The sequence below is a fragment of the Homo sapiens genome, chromosome 17 (genome assembly GCF_000001405.40).
Source record: "Homo sapiens chromosome 17, GRCh38.p14 Primary Assembly".
Taxonomy (NCBI): domain Eukaryota; kingdom Metazoa; phylum Chordata; class Mammalia; order Primates; family Hominidae; genus Homo; species Homo sapiens.
Window position 1 is genome coordinate 66481693 of NC_000017.11, and position 27249 is coordinate 66508941.

Consider the following 27249-nt stretch of genomic DNA (forward strand, 5'->3'; position numbering starts at 1 on the left):
GGGACTGGGCTTCATGTAGTCCTCCCAGGCCTGCCAGACTTTCTGGCCTTCAACTAGGAGCTTCATGCGTGTCTGTGGAAGGAGTGACCAATGGACAAACATACAACTCTATTTTGAAAGTGGGTTGGGGCTGGGTGTGGTGGCTCATGCCTATAATCCCAGCACTTTGGGAGGCAGAGGTGGGTGGATCACAAGGTCGGGAGTTCAAGACTAGCCTGGCCAACATGGTGAAACCCCATCTCTACTAAAAATACAAAAATTAGCTGGGTGCGGTGGTGGGCACCTGTAATCCCAGCTGTGTGGGAGGCTGAGGCAGGAGAATCACTTGAACCTGGGAGGCGGAGGTTGCAGTGAGCCAAAATCGCGCCATTGTACTCCAGCCTGGGCGACAGAGCAAGACTGTCTCAAAAAAAAAAAAAAAAAAAGAAAAAAAGAAAAAAAAGAAAGTGGATCGAGTATGAATTATGAAATTGCAAAGACTAGAAGGATACATGTGGGTCTTGCAAGGCCTTGCCCTTGAGTTTGCAATCAACTGGCTTGTTTAATAAACAAATATGTGCTAAGGATGATGGCTCCTCATGGAACTTAGGGCATGCAATCATTGACTTCAGAATAAAACTGTAGCTTAGGACCCAAAGAGAAGAACAGAGGTAAGGAAGAATCATGAGCTCACTCGCTGCTCACCCCTTCCAGTGCCCACCTAGAGTCCTTCAGGGATCATAGCTTCAAAACCCTTCCAGTGGATTCTTTCTGAAGTTCATTCTCAGACTCTCAGTGATCTTTACTACCTTTTAAATTAGGAATGTTCTTCACAAAAAGGAATGCTACAGGTTACTTCACTGAGTACGAGGTGAAGATTCCAAGTGTTCATTTTCTGTGTGGCTGTATATTATTTGTGTGGGAACCCACATTCTTATCTCACCACTAAAGATCAAGAAAGTACTTTCACCAGCCAGCAAGCATCACTTGTATGTGGTCATTGTATGATTACAACGGCAGGTACCAGCAGGTGTATTAAGCAGAACACACACATACAAAGGCAATGATTTTAAATTGGACTTTGGATTAAAGTAATATATTTAACCCCTCAAGAGTTCTGACTGTGTTAAACTCATTTATAATCATGAGCAAATGAGTCTATACTAATGCCTCAGATGTTTTTGAATTTGGCAACTTCTATTTCCTAATTGTGATTTAGGTTTAAATAACTTTTTCACTTATGCTCACCTGTAATCTTTGTATGCCTTTATTTCTCCCCGTGGAAGTATTCACAGGACCCTAATTCATTAGTTTGGTAATAGCTCTTTACTGCTTTGGACTTAAAGGTACCCTCGGTATTTTTAACAGACACAGATGTGCTGTCCCGTAGAGCTGTCGGGGAAGAATGCCTTGAATCCCGAACCACTTGCTCTTGTTCATAGTACTTAATTTTCACTTACTGAATCATTTGCTTTCCAAAAACCACCTTGTTGCATGTATTAGTTTGTTAGGGCTGTCATAACAAATTACCACAAACCGGGCAGCTTAAACAACGAAAGTGTGTTGCCTCAGTTCCAAAGGCTGGATGCTGGCAGGGTGGGTTCCCTCAGAGAGCTGCAAGAGAGAATCTGTTCCATGACTCCCCCTGGCTTCTGGTGGTTTCCCGGCAATCTTTGGCATTCCTTGGCTTGCAGAAGCAGAAGCATCACCCCAGTCTTTCTCCATCTTCACATGAGTTCTCCCAGGGTGTGTTTATGTCCAAATTTCCCCTTGCCTTTATTTTTATTTTATTTTATTTTATTTTATTTTTTCGAGACAGAGTCTCTGTCGCCCAGGCTGTGGAGTGTGGTGGTGCAGTCTCAGCTCCCTGCAAGCTCCACCTCCCAGTTAACACCATTCTCCTGCCTCAGCCTCCCAAATAGCTGGGACTACAGGTGCTCACCACCTCTCCCAGCTAATTTTTGTATTTTTAGTAGAGACAGGGTTTCACTGTGTTATCCAGGATGTTCTCAATCTCCTGACCTCGTGATCCACCCGCCTTGGCCTCCAAAGTGCTGGGATTACAGGAGTGAGCCACCGCACCCAGCCCAAATTTCCCTTTTTTGTAAGGATGCCAGTCATATTGGATTAGAGGCCTTACCTTATGCCAGTGTGACCCCATCTTCTCTAATTATATCTGCAGCAGCCCTTTTTCCAAGTCAGATCACATTCTGAGGTACTAGAAGCTAGAACATCAACATGAATTTTATGGGGATAGTTTGTATTAGTCCGTTTTCATGCTGCTGATAAAGAGATACCCGAGACTAGGTAATTTATTAAGAAAAAAAAAGTTTAATGGGCTCACAGTTAGTTCTGCATGGCTGGGGAGGCCTCACAATCATGGCAGAAGGTGAAAGTCTCGCCTTACATGGTGTCAGGCAAGAAAGAGAAGGAGAGCCAAGCGAAAGGGGAAACCCCTTGTAAAACTGTTGAATCTCGTGAGACTTACTCACTACGACGAGAACAGTATGGGGGAAAGCACTCCCATGATTCAGTTGTCTCCCACTGGGCCCCTCCCACAACACGTGGGAATTATTTGAGCTACAATTCAAGATGAGATTTGGGTGGAGACACAGCCAAACCATATCACAGTTCAACCCCTAAGAGTGTAGCTAATACCTGAAATAATCAGATGACATTTTTATTTGCCAATTCTGTGTAGGAGAGATGGGTAGAAATAATAGTAAATTGCATTGAGTGTATGATCAGAGACTATTGAGAAAGGTGATTGTTGTCAGATCCTAAATTATATGAAATAATTTGGGGGATTGTTTTTGACATATGTCATATAAAAGTAACTTATTTCCCAGGTTTCTTATTTTTTCTGACCAGCTCTTTGTCCATACTGATTCAATAATTTCCCAATGTTCTTCAGCTAATGGAGAAAAAGAGTTTGACCACATTTGTAAAATCCAATCTAACTAATGTATTTATGTTTTAGCTTTTTATTATGTACATTTTCATATATCTGGAAAAGCAGAGAGAATAGTATAATAAAAACCATATACTCTTCTTGCAACTTTAATAATTGTCAACTATTACCAATCTTGTTTCATCCATCTTCTCTCCACATATTTTTCTTGCTGGAGTCTTATTAAGGAATTGCAGATATCCTGTTATTTCACTTGTATAATTTTTTTTAAGTTAGAGAAATGTAATGTCATACTTTCTCACTGTTGAAATTGAGGAGAAAGGTAAAACTACTTAATGATAAGTATTAGGACATACACCTTGGCTTTTACATTGTAATGAATTTAAAGAAGGAAAAGCAGGAGATAAAGGAGGAGTGGGGAGGGTGGGGTTGGGAAGAGAGAGGATGTGAGAGACACCAGCTCCTTTACATGTTTCCCTCCCTACCACGTTTCCCTCCCTAACTAAACTCTGAGCTCCTTGAGGGCAGAAACTGTGTCTTGGTCCCCCAGTTACCTTCATACCTTATAGGGAATTGGTGTATAGTAAGTGTACATCAGTAAACATTTGCTGAATAATTGAATGAATAAAAGAATGAACGATGCTCCCCCAAAACCTTGCATAGAAAGATACAGAGACATGCTCAGAAAAATACACCACATTTAGCTCTAGAGGTAAGACAAAAGAAATAAAAAGATCCTGAAAGGTACATTGCTTCTCGCAGTTTTCAGGATATTTTCTCTCACATTTAGATCCCGTGTAGCATTTCTGCAACCCTGCCAAGAAGCAGGACTGTCCTAACGTGCTGAGTGCTTATGCCCTTAGCGAGGGAGAGAGGTTTCATCCATGCTGTGAGAGCTCATTCTTCATTTGCATTACGTGAGAATCGAAGCCTGAGTTCTGAGTATTTTGACTACCTTCCATCCTCTCAGAATTCTGGAGCCACACTTTGTTTTGCCTGCCATTTGGGAGAAGATTGGGGTTGCTGTGAAGCTTAAAGTGCTACACATTTTGCTGAAGAAAGAGATTGCAGTCTCAGATGTCCATACTGCCGGCAGACCTACATGCTTATAGATGTGAGTGACATTGAAGCAGGGGAAACAAGTCCTGTTCCACTACACTGAGGAGGCCTTGGACTGAAGGCAAGAGAGAGGAGAGAAGGCAGAGCATACAGTCCCAAAGCCGAGTCCAGCCTCCTTAGCTCCTTGCAACTCACACTCAAACCCCAGTTTAAGTAATTCCAGACTGAAAAATAAAAACCTTAAAAATATTGCAGAGAGAAGTTTGGTATTAGAGTCATGATAAACCCTTGTATAGAACGTGTTGCAATGATTATTTTTTAGGGTCAAAATGAGGAAACCTGACATGCACACTGGGTTTTGGATGTTCAGACATGAAGCTTGTACTGCCAAGTGAGGAAGGCTTTATGCCCTTAAGAGATTAAAGGAAAGTTGGACTCATCAGTTGATTCTGAAATCAACCCCCAAACACTGCTTGATCTGAGTTTTCAAAAGCTAACCTTTGGGTTTCTCTTTAAATATTTTTGCGTGATTTGTCATATACTTATCTTTAAGAGTTTTGTTGTTGTTGTTGTTTACATAAAGCAGTTACCATTTAATGCTACAGGTACTCAAGATTTCATTCATGCATATTCTTAGTCAATATGAGAAAAATCTATTTCATTGTAGTTCTGAGTTGAATATGGGAATAAGTTGAAATAATAAAAGAAGGAGACTGTTTATCTGTTGGCAAACGTGTCGCTGTCATCATCTGCATCCTTCTAAGTGTGTGGCTTCTGGGCCATCATGGGCGAGTAATGACCACATCCCATTCTTATCTTTTCTCCTTGGCTCTGGAAGGAGTCTTTTATACTGGTGATTGCCGGACTGTTCTTGAGATTTTTCTTCCCTCAACCCTCTCCAGCCCCCAGGCTCTCTTCTGACTCTTCCCACCCCTCAGACAGCCTCGTCCTTTCTACCATCAACCACAACACTTGGGTGTTTCCAGGACTCGCCTTGCAGTTCTCCCTCACCATGAAGACATCTCTCATGGCTTGGTCCACAGTCCCCCGTTGTCTTTTGGCCTCTAACCTTGAATCTCCACCTGCTTGTCTGACACATCTATCTGGGTGGCCTAACAGTATATTATACTTTTCTCAAATTGAGACCCCTGTTTATTGTTTCATTATGTTTTATTGATATATAATAGTTGTACATATTTTGGGGGTACATCTGATATTTTGATGCAGATATCAAAATACCATCCAAAGAGTTCTTTGGCAGCGTGTGCACAGGTATCAGAATATCAGATGCACCCCCAAAATATGTACAACTATTATGTATCTACATACAATGTGTAATGATAAAATCAGGGCAACTGAAATATTCATCATCTCAAACATTTATCTTTTGTGTTGGGAACATTACAGATCTTTTCTTCTAGCTATTTTGAAATATACAGTAAGTTATTAACTATAATTTCCCTGCTGTGCTATCGATTACTAGAACTTATTCCTTCTGTCTAACTGCATTTTTGAGCCTGTTAACTAACTGGTCTTCATCCCTTTCTCCTCTTTTTTCTTCCCAGCCTCTACTCGTTACCTCTGTGAGATCTACTTTTTTAGCTCCCACATATGAGTGAGAGCATATGATGTTTGTCTTCCTGTGCCTGGCTTATGTCATGTCACATAATGACCTCCAGTTCTTTTCATGTTGCTGCAAATGATAGGATTTCATTCTTTTTTATGGTTGAATAATACTCCATTTTGTAGACATACTACGTCTTCCTTATCCATTCATCTGTTGATGGGCATTAGGTTGATTCTGTATCTTGGTTATTGTGAGTGGTGCTGCAGTGAATATGGGATTACAGATGTCTCATCGGTAGACTGATTTCCCTTCTTTCTGATGTATACGCAGCAGTGGGATTGGCGGATCTTATGGTAGCTCTGTGTTTAGTTGTTTGGGAGAGTCCATAGTGCTTTCTGTAGTGGCTCTACCACTTTACATTCCCACCAGCAGCATCCCTGCCTTCCCTTTTCTCTGCATCCCCACCAGTATCTGTTCTTTTTTGTCCTTTTGATAATAGCCATTCTAACTGTGGTGGGATGTTACTGTGATTTTCGTTTGCATTTCCTTCATAATTAGTGGTGATGAACATTTTTTCTCCTACCTGTTGGCCATTTGTTTGTCATCTTTTGAGAAATGTCTATTCAGGTCTTTTGCCCATTTTAAAATTGTTGAGTGAAGAGTTTGAGAATATTTTTTCCAATTCTGTAGGTTGTTTCTTCACTTTGTTTCCTTTGCTGCACAGAAGCTTCTTAGCTTGATATAATCCCATTTGTCTGTTTTTGCTTTTGTTGTCTGTGCTTTTGAGGTCTTACCCCAAAATTTTGTCCAGACCATAATGCCCTGTAGCATAAAACCCCTGTTTAAACAACATGAAGAGTAGTTTCTCCTCTTTGAGCTCGTATAATACTCAGATTGCAAGTCCCCAAGTCCAAGTTAATTCTTAACTTGCCCCTTGGTCTTCTCTGTTCATTTTCTACAACCTGCCAATTTACCCTTTAGTATTTAGAATTCTTTCTGTGGAAAGTACAGAAAACTCATTCAAACTGGCGTGAACAATAAAAGCGTGTATGATATGACTTTGTGGATTCAAGTGTATTAAATTATATGGTATGTAAATGAAGAAAATGACATTTTTAAAGGGTATTTAATGGTTCGTGTGACTGAACAGTCTGAAGGTGATAGCCTTGCTGACGCCAAGATCTGGTTTCTTTCTTTCTCCTCTGAGTCTTCTGTACTCTCAGTTTCATCATAAGGCTCACCTCTTGGTTGCAGAGTGCTAACACCATTTACTCAGTTGCTCTGGCCGGGAGCTTGGGGCCGTTCTTGACTCGCCTTTCCTTCACATCCCACATTCAATCTCAGCCCTGTCTTCAAAGTATATCTCAGGTCCAACCAGGAAGGAATGCACAAAAGATGCTCAGTAGTCTTTGTTGAAATTAGAGAAAAAGAAGGCAAGGGAAGAATTAAAGATGAATCTCCTAAAGAAGGGGGAAAGAGGCTTGCCTGCTTAGAATTGGGAATACTGGATTTTTGAAAGAGTTCATTGGGAGCACGTGCACAGATGCTGAAAGGAAGAATCAAGGTGCTGTCTGAAGAATGACATTCTTTATAATATGTGATAGAGTGCATTTATTTGATTTGTTTTCATACAACTTTTAATGTGTATCCCAGGAGAAGACTGTTTTCATTGTTACAAATCTGAAACCAATAATTTTCTTTTAACATGCAGATATAATATAAGCTCACTTTTTCATTACTTTCCCTACAAAGCTGAAAGCGGTTGACTTGCCTTAGAGATTTTCCTTTCATTATATTCTGCTGTGACGTTGCCTTTCATTAATCCCTTCCAGCTAAGCAAAATTTAATTAGAACCATATCACGTGATGGCAACCATTTTTGTATTTAAAAAAAAGAATTCAAGGAAGCTCAGCTACCAGTCTTCTCTTCTAAGCAAAGTCTATTATATTTAGTAGGTTCTTTCCAGAATTCAGAATATGTTACATAATGGCTTTTTCTTCATTAATTTTGGATAATAGGGAATTTCTATGCCTGTGTTCCGTTTTACATGACTGTGACCTGAATTTAAAATGACATGGACTTGAGGGTGAAAGGAAAGGAAATTATTTTTTAAAGGAGAAATGGAAAATGACCCTTAGCAGTGCATATATATATATATATATATATATATATATATATATATATATATTTCCCCCCTCAATGAATATAGCAATCCGTGTTAGATGTAAATAGGGATGAACCCATTTTGCATATAGATTAAGTGACCAAATATCTCAGTAGTTTGGCAGGAAAGCCAAGCCTGCAGCCTGAGGGGCCTCACTTCCACCATCATTATTGACAACTATGTGCTCAAGCGAGCAGGGAGGGTGCAAGGAACACGTCTCCAATCCTTAAAGATTATATGAGTCCTTTGCTCTCAAATCTGAATTTTCCCTTTGTCTCCACTTTATGCCAGCACTGATTTTATTTAGAATTTTATAGAATGGAAGCAAATTCATTCTTTCTTTCATCCTTTCTTTTCTTTCTTTCTTTTCCTTCCTTCCTTTCCCTTTCCCTTTAATTCCTTTCTTTCCTTTTTTTTTTCTTTCTTGAGACAGGGTCTCACTCTGTCACCCAGGCTGGGGTACAGTGGCGTGATCTCAGCTCACTGCAACCTCCACCTCCTGAGTTCAAGCCGTCCTCCTGCCTCAGCCACCCAAGTAGCTGGGATTACAGGCATGCAACACCACACCCAGCTAATTTTTGTAATTTTAGTAGAGACAGGGTTTCACCATGTTGGCCAGGCTGGTCTCAAACTCTTGACCTCAAGTGATCTGCCTGTCTTGGCCTCCCAAAGTGCTAGGATTACAGGTGTGAGCAACCACACCCAGCCCAAATACTCTTTCTTGATGTCATAATGAACTCAATTATGAACACAAGTAATCATAAAAAGTCTATATAAGCAAGGTTCTTACTGCCTCTTCCTATTCCTCTTATTTATAATTTCATAAATATTGCTCTAGGTTGATAAGTTAAAAATTTTTATAGTAGGTTATGTATAAGATTTACCATTTTAACCATTTTAAATGTACATGTCAGTGGCATTAAGTACCTTCCCAGTGTTAGACGACCATCACTACCATCCATTTCCAGAACTCTTTTTTTTTTTTTTTGAGATGGAGTTTTGCTCTTGCTACCCATGCTGGAGTGCAATGGCAGGATCTCAGCTCACTGCAACCTCCGCCTCCTGGGTTCAAGCGATTTTTCTGCCTCAGCCTCCCAAGTAGTTGGGATTACAGGTGCCCACCACCATGCCCGGCTAATTTTTTGTATTTTTTAGTAGAGACGGGGTTTCACCGTGTTAGCCAGGATGATCTCGATCTCCTGTTTTCTTTTTGTTTTTTTTGAGACGGAGTCTTGCTCTGTCACCCAGGCTGGACTGGAGTGCAGTGGTGTGATCTCAGCTCACTGCAACCTCTGCCTCCCAGATTCAAGCAATTCTCCTGCCTCAGCCTCCCAGGTAGCTGGGATTACAGGCACAAGCCACTATGCCTTGCTAATTTTTGTATTTTTAGTAGAGACGTGGTTTTGCCATATTGGCCAGGGTGGTTTTGAACTCCTGACCTCAAGTGATCTGCCCACCTCAGACTCCCAAAGTGCAGGGATTACAGGTGTGACCCACCGCTCCTGGCTGTATGAATTCTTGAGCCAAACACAGGTGACTGTTATTTGTTCTGTTTCTGAAATATACTTTCGACAAGTGGTGAAAACTCTCCTTAATTTCCATCTAGTTTACTTCCATAAGCAAGATTAGCAAGGAATATGGATCACAAGATTGGGTGTTCTCAGTTTTAAAGCCAGGCAATGTCAAGATTTGTTATTTGGCCAAGTCTGTGGTCTTTATTATTTTTTTGTCCCACCATGTCATTTGCTCAGTGTGATTTGTGCATTTCCAGTGTCGTCCGTCACTGCTGGGGAGCAGACAAATATCACATAGAGGATTAGAGAAAGTGATTTTGTGCTTAGAAAATAATTGAATGAAGATTTACTTTGTGACTGGAAGCTGCAGGATAGCATCCTGTTTTAAAACCTCTCATTGGGTTATATAACCAGAGGTGACCAAAGTCTTTGAAGATGAGGCACCATCTCTGAGTGAGTTTTTGTTGGATAGCCTATGCTTGCTTGAGCAAAGACTTGTTTAAGGGCCAAGGGGGGCCCCCACGACAATCATCAGATGGAATCTTCCATGACACGTCTCCACTTCCTTCCAGCTGAGTGGCTGTTGTCTTTAAGTTGCCTTCCTTCTACCAAGGTCAGGCAGATGTTTGTTGAAGGTTTGCTATGTAACAGGTACCACCTTATTACCTCTTTACTCCAATTTCCTTTGCTTCATATACCATGGTGAGATGAATTCCTTTAGAGCCCCAAATTAAAAAAAGACAAAAAACAATAGCTCCTGATTTTTAGCCAGGGGAAACCCTATGATGTCCATCTCCAGGCAAACCTAATGCATCCTTTTGTTTTATTGAGCCAGTCTTTTCCTCTTTCAACAATGCTAGCAAGACTTCTCAAATGTCTTCATTAGATTATCTTACAAAATATGCATTACCCAATTTAGTTTGGAACTTGGACCCAAAGATCAAGGCCAGCCATCTCTGATTTTTGGAACCTCTGGCTGTTGCTCAGTTTTCTGGGGCAGCCTTTCCCAGGCACATGCTGCATGCAGCCAGCGTCGGCCAACCTCCAAGCTCCTCTTTCCTGTTCCCCTCACGGTAAGTGGGGGTGTTGGGGAGGAGAGGGGGCATCTACACTTTTTCTCCTTAGTCACCCAGGATTGGGCACATTCTGTTTCTTCTTCCTTTGGAGATCATCCATTCTGAATTTCGAATCTTCAAGTAGGCTTAGAGGGCTCTTTATCCCTCAGATAACGTGTCTATGAGTGGCTGTCTGGAAACACATGGCCTTTCTGTCTGCCTCTCATAGGGTGAATCCAGTCCTTCAAATGGGAAGCTTTCGTGTAAGGTAGGTGGGGAGGGGGTAGTTAAGGCAGGTTGGGAGGAAATTATTTTGGGATAGGTAAAGCTTTTTGCTGCCTCTGCAAATTGTGCTGGATAATGAGGGCCCGGGTCTTCTTAGGATAACATTCGGCATGAGTTTTTTTGAGGTGTGCAATAGAAATACTTCCAGCTGTAGATACATAATTGCATTGACCTGCAAATCATAGACAGAAAGAACAGGTACAAAAAGCAAACTATTCTTCCATGGGATTTGATAAGTGTGAGTTTTCTTAACAGTGTTCACTGAATGTGGAGATGGTTTTTTTTAAAAAGAGATGAAAGGCCCAAATGTTTGAACGATTAAGTAGGGAATAGGAATGCTTATTTTCCAACCAAAACACTACATCTGTAATAAACCGTGATGAGGAAGTAATGCCCCTGTAACCTTTTTCCTTTGGTAATTTATCTTTCTTATTCCAGTGGATGAAAGATGACTGTGTGCCTGGGGAGAGAGAGCAGATCAGATTAATTTGTGCCATCACAGCACGGCTTTATTATCCGTCCTTCGAGAGTTTTGCAATCAAGATGCTTTTAGCAGAAACACAGTGGAGAAAGGCCACTTCTCTCAGGGCTTGTAGGAGCTAAGCACTGCCCTTTGAGTGTCTCTGTGCTGCCTGGGCAGCCAAGAGGGCTGTTTTCTTCGATTCACACTCACCTCCTCCTGCCCCTGACTGTGCAGGGCAGACAGGTGTGGCCAGCGTGCTGGGCAGCCAGCAGGATCCCTCACCCAGGGCACCTCCCCCTCTAAAGGGATGCTTGCTTTAAGAGCTCTCCACTTGTCACCTTTCTGTGGATGGTTCCTGTTTGGTTATCTGGCTCTTTGTCTGCTCAATGCCAGGCATGCATTTTCTTTTTTAAAATGTATATTTTTACAGTGACATGGTATCATGAGTACCTTTAAAATGTGTATTTTTACAATCACATTATATTATGATTACCTTAAAAGAAAACCCTTTAAAAAGAATTATCCATGATTCTATTTCCCTAATATACTGTATCTTCATCCTCTGAGTTGTATATATGTGTATATGTGTATGTCTATGTAGGTATATTTGTGTGTGTGTGTGTGTGTGTGTGTGTGTATGTCTATTTTGTCATATACCCATTTTCCTGTTACCCATGTAAAAAATCTTGGCATCAGCTCTTTACCCTTTCTGCTCTGGAAATCCTGCCAGTGCATATGACATGATGAAAGGACGGGGGGCTGTGGTGTCCAGCAACTCTTAGCATGAATCCTGATTCCATCACATGGTGACTCAGCCTTGGGAAAGACCATCCTTTGTTTGTTGGTTCATTCATCTATCCATCTGTCTGTCCTCCCTGCCTCCCTTCCTGTCTCCCGTTCACAAGCATTCACTGTACAGCATGCTAGATTTGGGGGATCTGGGCAGCATTTTCCCATCCATAAAATATAGATATTGCAGCATATTAAGGAGCATTGTTAGGAGGATTCAATTTGCTAATAATGCATGTGAAGGGACCCAGTACAACAACAGCAACAGCCTGGCACGTGATAAGATGCTCAGTAAATGGTGCTGTGTGGTCAGTCAGCAAGTCTCATCGTTCTTGTGTAATTTCCCTGGCCTCTGTTACTTCCATTTCTTAGCAGCCTGCATGATGATGGCCAATTACTTTCATACCTAGACTATGCAAGAGGCTTCTAATGAGGCATTATAGGCCTCAATCTATTCTATTAAATTCTTCCTATTACCACCATTTGCACTTCTAAAGCATTGTTTTTGTCTGTGTTACTCTTTGTTCAGAACCTTTCAGTGATTTCCTAGGCTATTCTGAATTTCTTACTGGCCACTCACAGCCCTCTCAGTACTCTGGGCTCCTCTTGGGATTTCAGCTCTGAGCCATCCTGCCACCCTCTTCCACCTACGGAAATGACTCACCCTCTTTGGTCTTCTGTATCTACTGCCATATGTGCAGGGAACTGTATTATCATTGGTGAGAGGAGAAAATAGCGTATGAGCCACACATTTGGGAAACTCTAACCTTCCTTGTGCAGAGTCTTAGTTCATTTTTGCTGCTATAACAGAATACCTGAGACTAGGTAATTTGTAAAGAACATAAATTTGTTTTCTTACAGTTCTAGAGGCCAGGAAGTCGAAGATCAAGGTGCCAGCATTGAGCAAGGGCCTGTTTACTGCATGCTCCCAGGGGGAGGAAGACCTTGTCCTCGTGTGGCAGAAGGCAGAAGGGCAAAGAGACAAAAGGGGGCTCTACTCACCTTTTTGTAATGACATTAATTCTACCCCTGAGGGCAAAGCCCTCATGGTGGAGTGACCCCCCAAGGGTCCCATCTCCCAAAACTGCCACCATGGCAACCAAATTTCAACATGGGTTTCACAGCTGACATGAAATCAAACCACAGCATGCAGTAAAGACTTATGACTAACCTAGTATTCCTGAGGGTATACTGTTTTTTAACATGTTGTTATTATTCAACAAATGATAAGAGTAGTAGATGATGCCTTTTTGGAGCTAGACTTCAAGCTTTCAAGGAGAGACTAGGTCATTTATTTTTTGCGTCCTCTATCTTATTACCATCAATACAAACCTTTCAGGGGGACATGTGCAGTAGCTCAACGCCTACAATCCCAGCACTTTGGGAAGCCAAGGTGGACAGATTGCTTGAGCTTAGGAGTTCGAGACTAGCCTGGCCAACATGGTGAAACCGTGTCTCTACAAAAATGTAAAAATGAGCAGGGTGTGGTGGCACTTGCCTGTATTCCCAGCTACTTGGGAGTCTGAGGCAGGAGGATTTCTTGAACCCAGGAGGTTGAGGCTGCAGTGAGCCAAGATCACCCCACTGCACTCCAGCCTCGGTGACAAAGTGAGACCCGGTCTCAAAAAAAAAAAAAAAACTCTTAGGGGATTACTTTCTATAACAGTTATTTTGTTGATTCATCCTTAGGACTATTTATCAAAACCATGTTAAGCTTTGAAAATATTTACTGGGTAGTAGATTTTGCTGAATTTGCAGGAACTCTCCCAACTGGTGACAGAATCTGTAGCAAAAAGACAGATATAGGAAGGTGTTAAGGTGTTTGCTAAGATTGTTTTGATTCATTTCAAAGGTCTGTTTTCTGTAGATTGCATTTGTGTCTGAATGAGTTTATTAAGTTGCTGAGGAAGTCCTGCAACCCACATTTAGGGATACTCACATTATTTATAATCAGTTATTCTCTTTATATTTTATTTCAACCACGGAATACAATGTTTATATACATTTATATGTGTGTGTTAGTGTGTTGCTATAGGATGGTGCAAAGTATTTTATTTTATTTTATTTTATTTTATTTTATTTTATTTTTTGAGACGGAGTTTCACTCTTGTTGCCCAGTCTGGAGTGCAGTGGCATGGATCTTGGCTCACTGCAACCTCCACCTCCCACGTTCAAGCGATTATCCTGCCTCAACCTCCTGAGTAGCTGGGATTACAGGCGCCCATCACTATGGCCAGCTAATTTGTGTATGTGTGTGTGTGTGTATTTTTAGTAGAGATGGGGTTTTACCATGTTGGCCAGGCTGCTCTTGAACTCCTGACATCAAGTGATCTACCTGCCTCGGCCTCCCAAAGTGCTTGGATTACAGGCATGAACCGCTGTGCCCGGCTAGGATGGTGCAAAATGTTCTAAATTTTGTTTCCCGGTTTCTACTTTGGGAAACTGTCTTACAATCTGATTCTCCTCTCCCTCAACTTCAGAGAGTAAGAGCCACAGTTTGTGGCCCTGTCAGTGCTGGCATTTTGGGACTCTGTTATCTATGAGTCTAATCAATACCAAATGTTGCTGATTCTAGAATGAAATGCCTTCTGATTGCTGTTTATAAGATTCTGTCTGTAGTGAAATTAAATTGACTTCTAACAGCAAGTATCTCTGTTTGGAAAATAAAGCTCGTATGTTAAATCATGTCTATTCTAATTTTAGTTTCCTTTTTCTCTACCAGTTTGCTGTTTTGTGGTCCACAAGAGGTGCCATGAATTTGTTACTTTTTCTTGTCCGGGTGCGGATAAGGGACCCGACACTGATGTAAGTAGTCCTGAAATCATGATTTGATGTCAATGTGGATTTCTGAGCTTTAATTTTTTTAACGCCTGTGCAACTGTTAGTTTTGGCACTTACTGTTAATGGGAAGACTCAATTCTCATAGAGCGTTGGCTTGTAGTAATGAGCAGATTTATAGCCCATATGAGCTCTGGACTACATCTTAGAGAATTTCTCAGAGGAGAATTTCTTGGTAGCATGTACTGTTCCACTTTGGGCAGCTGCATTGACTAAATCCACCAAATTTATTGTAATAGCTTTCACAAACACAATGCAGTTGTTGACAGATTTTACAATGAACATTTATCACCCTTCAGTTTATTTCCGTTCCCTCCCCTCCCCTCCCCACCCCTCCCGTCCTCTTCGATGGAGTCTCACTCTGTTGCCCAGGCTGGAGTGCAGTGGCACGATCTCAGCTCACTGCAACCTCCGCCTTCCAGGTTCAAGCGATTTTCCTGCCTCAGCCTCCTGAGTAGCTGGCACTATAGATGTGCACCACCACGCACAGCTAATTTTTGTATTTTTAGTAGAGATGGGGTTTCATCATGTTGGCAGGCTGTTCTTGAACTCCTGACCTCAAGCAATCCACTCGTCTTGGCCTCCCAAAGTGCTGGGATTACAGGTGTGAGCCACTGGGCCCTGCCACCCTTCAGTTTACTTCTAAGCTGAAATAAACCAATAGGAGCATCATTGCTTTGGGCCAATGTAACAAACTGCTCCTGGTTTACTCCAGGGGATTCTTGCTGCCTTTTCGGTGTATGTTAAAAATGCTGCTGCTGATTGAAATAATTTAGCATCTGTTTCACTGAACAGTGATCTCTGAAGTTGCCCATGTGTGAACACATAATTTCCTCTCTTTGTGGACAATTCTGATGGTCTCTGTTGCATCTCTTGTGTACTTAAAAATGGGATCCACAGGCCGGGCACGGTGGCTCACGCCTGTAATCCCAGCACTTTGGAAGGCTGAGGCGGGCGGATCACCTGAGGTCGAGAGTTCAAGACCAGCCTGACCAACATGGAGAAACCCTGTCTCTACTAAAAATACAAAATTAGCTGGGCGTGGTGGCGCATCCTGAGATCCTAGCTCCTCAGGAGGCTAAGGCAGGAGACTCATTTGAACCCGCGAGGCAGAGGTTGTGGTGAGCTGATATCGCACCACTGCACTCCAACCTGGGCAACAAGAGCAAAACTCCGTCTCAAAAAAAAAAAAAGGATCCACAAAGGAGTCACGGAAAATACCAATGTCTAAAATATGTTGGATAGAGAGAAACTTCAGCTGTTATATGAAAAGTAATATTTTAACTGAATAAAAAAAATTGTCAGGCAGGCTTAGAAGGGTAGACATTTCTGTTCTGAATTGCTTTTGCTTGATCAGTTTAGTCACTCAAATTGTGTGCTTGAAGCGATTCCCATCTTTAATGCCTGTTCCCATCAGGAAACTTTAATTTGAAAGTGGCTATCTCAGTGCAGGCAAGACTAAATTCTTCCCTTTGCGAAAGATGACATTTTTGCAGTGTGCTCTGAGGGATTCCGATTTGCGTTGTTGTAACACAAGTAAGAAGGAAGTTACTGTTTGGTGTTCAGTGCACGGGAACATGCACAATGGGGTTAGGGTGCTTGTGGAGGCAAGATAGAGTGCCTGTTGTGGGCTCTGAGCCCACATACACATACACACGGGTTCCACAAAGGCTCACAGGACATGGGAGCCAGAGGAAGCTCAGGCGTCACCTTGTTTTATAACTTCATGGACAAGGAAGCCCAAGTCCATGAACGTTGAGTGACTTGCCTGCATACAAACAAAACTAGTTAGTGTCATTCCCCTGCCCTCCCCCCTGCTCCCCGCCTCCTGCCCCCTGCCCCGGCCACTTTCCATACTTCTCTTCTGGCATATTCTGGAATATTGTCTTCCTTTGGGGCATTTTAGAGATAAAAATAGCTGGAACGTAAAGTACTAACTTTTCCAAAAAGCCAAGTCCCATTGCACTTGTTTGGAGTTGTCTAAAACCTCATGTCATAGCCTTTCACTTCCTTGCTCATCATTCCCATCTTTATCTTGCTGTATTTTTCTTTCCTCTCTTCTCTTCTCTCTCCTCCCATTTCTGCCCCATCAAGAATGGGAAGGGAGGATGGGCAGGCTTCAGGATGTGAGTAGTTTGTCTGACTCCCTTCTCTTCCTTTTTCTTCCCCCTCCTACTTTTTCATTCTTTTGGTTGAGTATTCTTTATTGAGAACCCATAATGGGCCAAAGTCTGTGCTTAGTCCTGGGGTATAACACTAAGTACAGAGATATGCTCCTTGCCTTCCTGGACATTCTGCTGTGGGAAGGCAGACATTAAAATATCACTAATTCAAATAGGATACAGGTACACTGAGCAGGTTTCTCTAAGGGACATACTGCATTTAAACTGAGCTTGACGAATGGGTAGGAGATAGGCAGACAAAAGGAAGGGTGTGTGTGTGCGTGCGTACGCGCATGTGTGCACACATGCATGCTGGGCTGTATGGGGCCCTGGAAAAGGCTGTTTCAGACAAAGGGAAGAGCAAGTGAGAATGCCAAGATATGGGAAGGAGTTTAATCAATAACAAACAGAAAGCTGGGAGTTGGGTGTCTGGCAAGGATTTTGGGCACAGGCTTAGGAGCATTGGGGGCCCAGGAAAGAGTTTAACCTTAAGGGCTCATCTCTTAATACAGTCACATTGGCGGTTAAGTTTCAGCATATGAATTTTCAGGACATGGACCATTAGCAGACACATTCAGTGTGAGATGCCTGACGCTGGGAGTCAGTTGAGTATGGAGGCAGGTGTGGCAGTCAGAAGTGGGGTATGTCCTAAAGATAAAGATTCCTATGATTTTTTTTTAATGCCTTGGATGTGGATCATTTTTGCCTAGGGAGAGGGTATAGAGTGGGGAGAGAAGGGATTAGGTCTCAGGAGAGAGCTCTAAGGAACTCCAACATGTTGCATGGGAGAGGAAGATCAGGGTAGGGAAACCAAGAAGGGGCAGCCAGAAAAGTAGGAAGAAAACCAGGGGAGTGTGATGCTGATTGAATGATTTCCTAAGGGGCTATAGGCCAATACTGTGATCGTATCTCTGTGTTTGTTATGAATTCTCTACGTTGCTGAAACTGCGTATAAGTAGGTAACATACAGTTTGTAAAGGACAATCTTATTTACATGGGAAAGTCTTTGTTTATGCCCACCATGGATCAATTGATGCCTGTTAATTATTTTTGGTAACTCATTTCATGCTCAGATTTTTTATCTTGTTTGGCTGATCATTATGGGGTCATCCTACTCATAGGGCCTGGAGCCAGGTAAAAAGCTTTAGAAAAGATATGCTTGGTGCGAAATATAACGGAAACACACCCGTGAGCTGATGCCCAGCCATGTCCTGCTCCTAATCTTGTGTTGACTTTCTGTAGATGCTGAGTCTTACACTTAAAATATCCTTGAAAGTAATGATGATTAGATGAATTTTTTTTAATGTGAAAGAGAAAGAGGTATATTAGATATTCAATGCAGTCCTGCCTGCCTGGTTCACAAAAGATCATGCATTCACCCAAAAGATCATGCATTCACACCTGCATCCATACTCAACTGACTCCCAGTGTCAGACATCTCATGCCGAATGTGTCTGCTAATGGTCCATGTCCCCGAAAATTCATATGCTGAAACTTAACTGCCAACGTGATTGTATTAAGAGGTGGGCCCTTTAGGAGGTGATTCAGCCATGAGGTGGAGCCTTCCTGAATGGGACCAGCTCCCTTATTAGAGAGGTACAAGGGAGCTGTTACCTCCATTTCCCCTTTTAGCCCTTCTGTCATGTGAGTACACAGCAAAAAGGCACCATCCAGGAAGCAGAGCCCAGCTGGTGCCAGATACAGAATCTGCTGGCACCTTGATCTTGGAAGAGAAAGGAGAAAATTTGATTTTTGGTCTTTGGAGCAAGAGACCTATGACTAGGGCTTTCTGCAGCCAAGGCCTGAGAAGTGTTGACTGGCTGTATGCAGGATGATTTTACTTACTGTGCAAATCTGCAAGCAAATCTTATGAAGGTACAAGGTGGCCAAACTGTGCTGCACCAGGGAGATAGTTGGAAAATCATGAAGGCATTGGGAGGTAGAACTGAGCTGAGATGCTAGAATTTTCTTATTTTATCCTTTTCTGAATACCATTTTTCTGCAAATCCCAGAAGTATTGAGCCAGAAGGGGTGTTAAGGATTTATCTGGGTTAACCTTACTTTGTGGATGAGGAGACAACTAAGGCAAAAATGATCTGGGGTACTGTCATATGTTATCTCTTGAGTATCCAGTGGGCTTGTGGTTGATTCTTTCAAGGCAATTGGCCATGAAGAGAAACAAGATGTTGGTGGCTTGACTGGATTGTGCTGCCAGTGGAGCACATTGACAGCTATTCCTTGGTGCATTTGTTGAAAATTCTGGTCAGGTGTTTGGAAAACTAGCAGACTTATTTTACCATCTTGAGAATTAACTTATCCTCCAGTCCTTTTCAGTGTCTTAGAAATCAATCCAATAAAAAATGCCTGCTGGCAGGCTCAGTGAGGAAGACCAGTGAAAAGAATGGGAAGTATCAGAATTTAAGAGAAAAAAAACTGCCCTAAGCATTTTTCCCCTGAAAAATTTAAAAATTTTAAATTAGGATTTTTTTTTTCGTACCATGGAGAATGGTTAAGATGTCCTGTTCATGTGCTGCTTAATAGTACCTTCGTTGAGCTTGGCAGACTCTAACACATTCACAGACGGGGAAAAAGAAGGTACAATCCTTGTGAAATCCTCAAATATTGTACCTGCTCTGCCATCTTCAAGATGAAAGGATGGGAAAAGTACTGAGAAATAAAATAGCGGTACCCAGGTTACAGTAGCCAGATGGGAAGACATTACAAAGTTCTTTTGAACAGAGATGCTCTTCAAGACTCAAGGAGCAGTCGTAGTTGAGAGTATGCATTAGTGCAGGGAATCTTGGCAGAGAAAAGGCTCCTGGGTTCACAGAAGGACCCTCCCTGGAGATCCTCAGGCCAATTTCTCAAGGGTCCTCTGCCCCTTCTGGATGAGATGGCATTCTGTACCAGCAAATCTAGAGCAAAAAGCTGAGCAATTCCTAGACTTTAAGTCCGTCCCCATACACGCTGAGTAGAGAAGGAATGAAAGCAGAAGACTTAAGAGAACCAACGTTAGCGGTGAGCTCATTCCCTGGTACTGCCTGTGTTTGCACCCGGGGCTCAGGCTTGGATGCTGAAGTATGTGGCTCATGGAATGAGCAGCAGCTGTCTTCTTACCTGGTGTTGGGAAGGCACTTTGAATTGGTGCAGGATTTATGTTTCCAGGTGTGTGGCCCTAGAATGCAGCTTGGGGCTCTGCCCAGTACCCCATTCCAGCATCCGAGGTTTCATCAGACAACATAAAATAAGACAAAAGTGCTCTGTGTTTAGAAATGGCTTCTCCCCCTTCTCCACCAAATTAAGATGCAGACTCGGACATGGGCAGGTAGAAGTCGAGAGTAGAGCCGTGGTTTTTGGGGCAGTGGGAGTAGTGAGCCTGGCTTTGCTCTGCTGAAGGGCAGCAAGTGCCCATGCTTCTTTGGCTGCCATTGATTGCCTGCCTCCGTGGGCTGCTCTGGCCATGATGGGGTGGGGCAGATTCAGGAAGGGCTAGTGGTGTGGGGTCTGCAGGGCTGGCTCTTTCCAGACTTCTTCCTCTCACTTCTTAAAACCTTAGCTCACCAGTGTCTTCTTGATCAGTGCGGAGCTCCCTGTTCTTAGAAGAGTTTCTATTCATTTTCGATTATGTCTGTTCATGAAGCCCACCCTGCTATGAAGAGGAAGAATGGGGTCTGGGGGCCTCCCATTATGCATCTGTGCATGGATGTATTGATATGTATTTGTGTGTGTATGTTTATTAGCACATTAAGCCCTTTTTAATTTTTTTTTTTTCTTGAGACAGAGTCTCGCTCTGTTTCCCAGGCTGGAGTGCAGTGGCGCGATCTTGGCTCACTGCAGCCTCCACCTCCCGGATTCAAGCGATTCTCTTGTCTCAGTCTCCTGAGTAGCTGGGACTACGGGCATGCACCACCACACTCGGCTAATTTTTGTATTTTTAGTAGAGACGGAGTTTCACCGTGTTGGCCAGGCTGGTCTCGAACTCCTGACCTTAGGTGATCCACTCACCTAGGCCTCCCAAAGTGCTGGGATTACAGGTGTGAGCCACTGTGTCTGGCCCTTTTTAAAATTCATTTTCTCTGTGTGTCTTAAGTGAGAAAGCTACAAAGCAGCACTTTGACAGAATAATACCAAGCTCAGTCCTGCTCTTAGGGCCACAATGTACAACTCCCCCTGCCCTGCAGCTTTCTTTTTTTTTGAGACGAGTCTCGCTCTGTTGCCCAGGTTGGAGTGCAGTGGTGCGATCTCGGCTCACTGCAAGCTCCGCCTCCTGGGTTCACGCCATTCTCCTGCCTTAGCCTCCCAAGTAGCTGGGATTACAGTTGCATTCCACCACACCTGGCTAATTTTTTTTTTTGTATTTTTAGTAGAGACAGGGTTTCACCATGTTAGCCAGGATGGCCTCGATCTCTGGACCTCGTGATCCGCCTGCCTTGGCCTCCCAAAGTGCTGGGATTACAGGCATGAGCCACCGCGCCCAGCGTGCCCCCCAGCTTTCTCGTCAAAAGTTGTAAGAAGAGAAGCTGTTTTTATGTGTCATCCATAAAATAACACACATGCTAAGCAACTGTTTACACATAATCTTTAGAGTGTTTACTCTGTGCATTGGATATGTGGACATTTGAGAAAGTAAGGGGTGGTGGGGGAGAGAGTGGGAGAGGGATTTGTTAAAAGGCTTCAAGCGTCTGGAGGTAGTAAGCTTTCCTCGCGTTTTTGTTGAGCCATTATGTTTTTATTTGCCCCATGTGTTTTTACCAGTGACTCTGGCTTCTCTGGGGAGAAACTTTTCCCACAGTATTTTGCACGTTTTATGTTTGAACCGTCCCGTTGAACAGAATTCAGGTGACTTCGCAGGTTATTGCTCTATCTCACCTGGCAGACAACCAACATGTATACCGGTGACGTCACAGGTTCACTGAAGCCTGCCAGAATGTTTGGAAGGGGACCAAATGAATACATTAATTAACTTGTTAAAAGATAGGGAGGCTTGCTTCAGACCTGGGTACACCTTCAAGTCAGTGAAGATCATAAAACTGATCTATTTGAAGAAGCTGAGCGCACTGACTGTAAACATTTAAAGCTAAAAACGGAACCTATTGCACAAATTGCTACAAACCAAAAGTGATATCCCCTGTGAGACTGGACTCCGTGGAGGACTATATGTCTAGAAAGCAAAATTGCTTTCTTTTCTTTACTACAATCTTGAGAATTCTCTCTTTCTCCAGTCCTTTTCAGTGTCTTAGAAACCGATCAGATAAAAAAGGCTGCTGAAATGTTGAAAATTCAGCATTTCAAAGATTCATTTATAATAAAATTTAAAGCATTTAAAATAAACCTAGAAATAAATTTAACAGTGAATCTTCTGTTTTTTCGAAGTGTACTTTTAAACATTGAATTTAGAAAAAGATGATTTTGTGAGCAAAGCCAGTTCTACCCCCAAAACATTTTTATATTCCTGAACTGACACGGTAAAGTTAGATTTGCATGAGGTACAGAAGCTAAAAAGTTGCATTTAAAATTCAGCAGAGTATATCGTGCAGAGAGTCCTGGAGTGGGAATTGGGAGTCCTGCCAGGCCACATTACTGAAGCCCTTTCTAGACCTTTGTTTTCTTACGTATAAATATGGAGGTTGAATTTAGAGATCTTTAAAGTTGCCTTCAGCCCCAAGTTTCATTATAGTCCCTCTGTTATTAAACATTGATTGATAGCCCTGTACTGTGAAGGTTACAAAGGTAAAGAGAGTTCCTGCCCTCCCAAGGCAGGGATTATCCTCTAATTGCAAGGGTAAACCAATTAGGCAAAGAGTTGTACTATAAGATTGCACAGGGTGGGCCACTAGCAGTGGCCCACGCCTGTAATCCCAGCACTTTGGGAGGCCGAGGCAGGTGGATCACCTGAGGTCAGGAGCTCAAGACCAGCCAGGCTGACCAACATGGTGAAACCCCATCTCTACTAAAAATACAAAATTATCTGGACGTGGTGGCACACACCTGTAATCCCAGCTACTTGGGAGACTGAGGCAGGAGAATTGCCTGAACCTGGGAGGCAGAGGTTGCAGTGAGCCAAGATTGCACCATTGCACTCCAGCCTGGGCAACAAGAGTGAAACTCTGCCTCAAAAAAGAAAAAAAAAAAAAGATTGCACAGGGTAGGTGCCATAAGTGGGGAAGAAATAAAATGCTGCTGAGTTTAGCAGGGAGAGAGCCAGCCTGCATCTAATGGGAGAATGCAGGAAGAGCTTCATAAAGATGGTGACATTTCAAGATGTATTTCAATTCTTTTCATCATTTTCCTTTGAAAATAAGTCCATCAGTGTTTTTCTGTTGCTCATGTTGGCCCATGGGAGTTACGTCTCTTGCCTAATGCTGCCATCCAGCAGTGCCTACACTCAGGTGACATATTTGCCAGTGGACCTGTCATAAGAGTGCAAGGAGGGAAGCCTGTAATGTTCTGCATGTCCTGTCGGGACCCCCCTCCCATGAGCCTCTGAGGAAGCCCGAGTCCATTTCTGAAACCACCCTCGGCACTTGCCCGCAGATACCCTTCTTCACTTGCTGTGATGCCACAGGAAACCTTAAAAAGAAGTTATTTCGGGGAAACACACCCAACAAAAAAACTCCAGTGCTAATTCTGCTCTTCAGTGGGTGGATTATTTTATGTACCAGATTCACAGTAACAGAAGTATTTCCTACAAGGGAAGGGACTCCTGCTGCACTTGGACCAAATTAATTTAGCCGGGAGTTAAAAATAGCCTCCGAGACTTCTATCCTCATCCGTAGTTCTGATGAGCAAAAGGAGACAGTGGGGGAGTGGGTGGCATGGCCATTCTCTTGACCCACCAACCTCTGGCCACAGGGAAGAGGGAGGGATGAGTATTTGCCCCGTTGTCTGCACCTGATTAGCTGGGAAAAAATGCGCGACGTAATTACAAAGAAAATGCTCCCATTTTCACCAGTGTTTGGAAGGCATGTTTTCAAGGGAGTCACCTGGGGGCTTGTCAGCTGAATCCCTAGGTTGTAGTTCCTACCTCCCATCTTTGGAACTCCACTTTTGAATGGCCTGGACGGGCAGTAGTACATCCTTTTCAAAATCCTTACCCTTGCCGAGTTGTCAGCCTCTGAGAGGGTGGTGAGATTGTCTCGGGAGGCAGACAACAGGCCAGTGGAACCCAGTCAGAATAAGGGAGCCTTTTGAGGTGGGTAGAATTGTTTTTGGTCAAAAAAGAGGTGAGATGATCAATTAGAGTGATTTTGTTGTGAAACTTATAAAATGCCTCTGACATCAAGTCTGGGAACAGATCTTTGTGTATTAACCATAGAGAGTGTGTTTGAATCATTGTATAATGTCTCCGGGGCACTTTTATTTAATATGCTTATTTATTTATTTACTTATTTTGAATTTTAGAGGTGAGACTTGCTATGTTGCCCAGGCTGGACTTGAACTCCTGGACATAAGTGATCCTCCTGCGTAGCTGGGGAGACAGGCGTGAGCAGCTTCACCTGGGGCATGTTTGGTTTTTTAAAAATTATTTACTTGGAGGCCAGGCGCTGTGGCTCATGCCTATAATCCCAGCACTTTGGGAGGTCAAGGCAGGTGGATCACCTGAGGTCAGGGGTTTGAGACCAGCCTGGCCAACATGGTGAAACTCCATCTCTACTAAAATTACAAAATTTAGCCAGGCATGGTGGTGTGTGCCTGTTCTCCCGGTTACTTGGGAGGCTGAGGCAGGAGAATTGCTCAAACCCTGGAGGCGGAGGTTGCAGTGAGCCGACATCGTGCCACTGCATTGCAGTCTGGGCGACACGGTGAGACCCCGTCTAAAAAAAAAAAAAATTATTTACTTGGGATCTGGCCTAGGCAACATAGCGAGACCCTATTTCTTAAATTAAAAAAAAAGGTCATATTACTTAATGATCATATTTACACAGTGAATTCTTTGTGAGAGGGTCCTGTGTGTTTTCTCTTTGAAAGCCGAGTGCCTGATACAGGGCCTGGCACAAATTAGATACTCAAAAAGTATTCGTTGAACCAAAGAGAATGAGTTGGTGAAGGTCTGATAACCTAACTTGATCACCAGTCGTATTTATCCGGTCTTGAATTACTTGAATATTTACAGCTGTGCGTGAGACTTTTACTGAACTCCCTTAATACCCAAGAGTAGCCGTCTCATCAGCATCATTATTACGGCTGATGCTGGGGGTGTGGGGGAACACACCTGATGGGCTTTTCTGTTTTTCCCAGTAACTGTTTCAAAGTGTAGTCTTCACTATTTGGAATTTAGTTTAAGAAGTAGTGGGTGAGGCAATAGCTTTTGACTGGTTGGGATCAACAATTGGTATGATGGATTCCTTGTTTATTTTTTCTGACCGATCCAAGTGACTCAGTGATACTAGACATTTCGTGATGTACAAACAGCCAAATTACCTGACCCTGAGAACTGTTGTTGGAAATGGTGTCTGGAGAGCCTGCTGTAGGAGTGCAAATTCTCGGAAGCCCAGAGTTGGAAGATCCACGGCACAGGATGTGACATCTTTGTGATACCATGTATTTAGCGTCTCTTATGTGTCTGGTGTTTTTCTTGCATTTATTCATTGTATGTAAACATTAAATGTTTCTTGAGCATTTATTGTGTGTGAGGTATTATGGGAGGCAAAGGTTAAAAAACACAGTTCTTGTCTTCAAACAACTTATCCTTAGTGGGAAGTCATGTATATGAATAAATATTACTATTCAAATAGTCACTTCAGCGGATAACATACATAAATGCACTAGGTATGCATTATTGTTCCCATTGTACAGATGTGCAAATTGAGGCTTGAGGTAGTTAAGTGATTCTCCCGAGTGCAGTAGTAAGTGGAGCACTAAGCTTTGAACTGGACCTCTCAACTTCCAAACCTGTTCTTTTTCCACAGTACCACGTGACTGAACAGCAAAGCTAACTTAGGGGCAGTTTTCTGTCAGTGAAGGTTCCATTTTTGTGGGTGGAGTCTGGGGTCATTGTGACTATGAGAAATCTTAAAATGGTAAAAGAAATTTGGAATCATACAATCCTGAGACATTAACAGTAAAAACCTTCACAAGGCAGATTAGCAACGTGAACTAGTAAAGACAGGAGCATGTAGGGCTGATGGGACCGGGTGGGAGCTGGCAGCAGTTTGGAGACTTGGTTTAGGTCCTTCTGAAGAGGGTACAGAGTGGGACTTTTCAGGACATTGGGTTTCTGGAAAGATCCGTTTCAAGTGTCTACACCCTAAGCTGAAAGCCAGCCCAGAGAGCTTTTTGGCTCATGCTGGGGCTTATTCCTGGATTCTGATGAGTCATGTTTTTTAGAAGCTGAACTTCTAAACTTCTAAGCCGAGTCCCATTCAGTTAGCTGGTACCTTCCTCACCTTGGCTTTGTTTTCTGTTTTTGCTGCTTAATACATTTCCAGCAGGAGATTTAGGAAGGGTCTGTGGACAGAGAAGTAGATTTCCCAGGATCTAAGAAAAGAAGGTTGGTTTACTGTGGGTATTCTAGCTGTCATTATAACTGTGTTATTTTATTTATTTACAAAGGGATCATGAGCCAGAACCAATCATAACAATCAAATGAACCCACTCACTGTTTCAGCCTCTGATGGTGGCTAAGAGAAAACAGCAAGTGGGGAGCACCCCCCCTCACAGTCGCCTCTATTATGTTGTACCAGAAGCTGGGATCCAGCACCCTCAAACGTAGAGGCTTGTACTAGCAAGAGTCACATGGACAGTGGGAAGGTCCATTCTAATTATTTTGTTAGTAATTCAGTCTGTTCTATTTATTCTTATAATCTAGCACATTCCAAAACATATTTGTTTTGAGAATGATAAACCAAGGGGAAAAGTCAGGTTTTAAGAAGAATGTCATGGCCACGAAGATAACACTGCCGTTGGGCGTTGCCGTGGTTCTGACTGGGTGAAGGTTTCCCAGTGACCATCTTTGTGTGGAAAGAGCACTCTGCTCCTGATGTTGGGGATGTCATGCCACCCACGTACATCACTGTCCTCAGCATTCCAGCACTCTTGCCTATTCTCCGTGCATCTCTTCCACCCTGCAAGCCATTGCTTATGTCACCCTGATTGATCATGGTGTAACACCCAGCTGTCCTCTGCACACAGGATCCCAAGCCAGAAGTCTCAGGATTTTCTTGGTTGTCTCCATCTTTTTTTTGTTTCACGCACCTAATAGGTTTCCAAGTGCTACGAGTTCTGCTTTCAACTCTCTTTCCTCTCCATCTCCATAGCCACTGTCTTTGTGAAGGCCTTGTTGTGTGCTGTGAGTTGGTCTTACTGACTCTGGACTGTTTCTCCTCTATGAACTGTCTTTCATATTGCCACCCCGTGGTACTCCAGTTGTTGTTGTTTTTGTTTTTTAATGTGATTATGCACTCTCTTGCTTATCATCTTCCAAGGTTGGTACAGAGTCACTCACAGCGGCCTCACTGGCTGTT

At 42.9% G+C, this 27249-nt stretch overlaps 1 protein-coding gene across 9 annotated transcripts in view, besides 2 other annotated features; it reads left to right on the plus strand.

Annotated features, from left to right (window-relative positions):
• Positions 1-27249, plus strand: part of PRKCA (protein kinase C alpha) — a 508131-nt gene that overhangs the window by 179080 nt on the left and 301802 nt on the right. For 8 of the 9 annotated variants that reach the window (XR_007065315.1, XR_007065317.1, XR_007065316.1 and 5 more), the window contains one exon: positions 14509-14591. Coding sequence is in view for 4 of the 9 variants with exons in the window: in NM_002737.3 (NP_002728.2) it covers positions 14509-14591 (83 nt within the window). In the remaining 5 variants the exon portion in view is untranslated. Of the gene's footprint in view, positions 1-10180; positions 10268-14508; positions 14592-27249 lie in introns of those variants that run through there. The other variant, XM_017024837.2, reaches the window with a different exon arrangement.
• Positions 2551-2620: an enhancer, noted in NCBI's record as "active region_12614". NCBI's record gives its function as "activates an Ori minimal core promoter by ATAC-STARR-seq in GM12878 lymphoblastoid cells {active_cell/tissue: GM12878}" and the evidence as "EXISTENCE:reporter gene assay evidence [ECO:0000049][PMID:35858748]".
• Positions 25559-25853: an enhancer, noted in NCBI's record as "tiled region #12401; K562 Activating DNase matched - State 5:Enh". NCBI's record gives its function as "activates a minimal TATA promoter and a strong SV40 promoter by Sharpr-MPRA in K562 cells {active_cell/tissue: K562}" and the evidence as "EXISTENCE:reporter gene assay evidence [ECO:0000049][PMID:27701403]".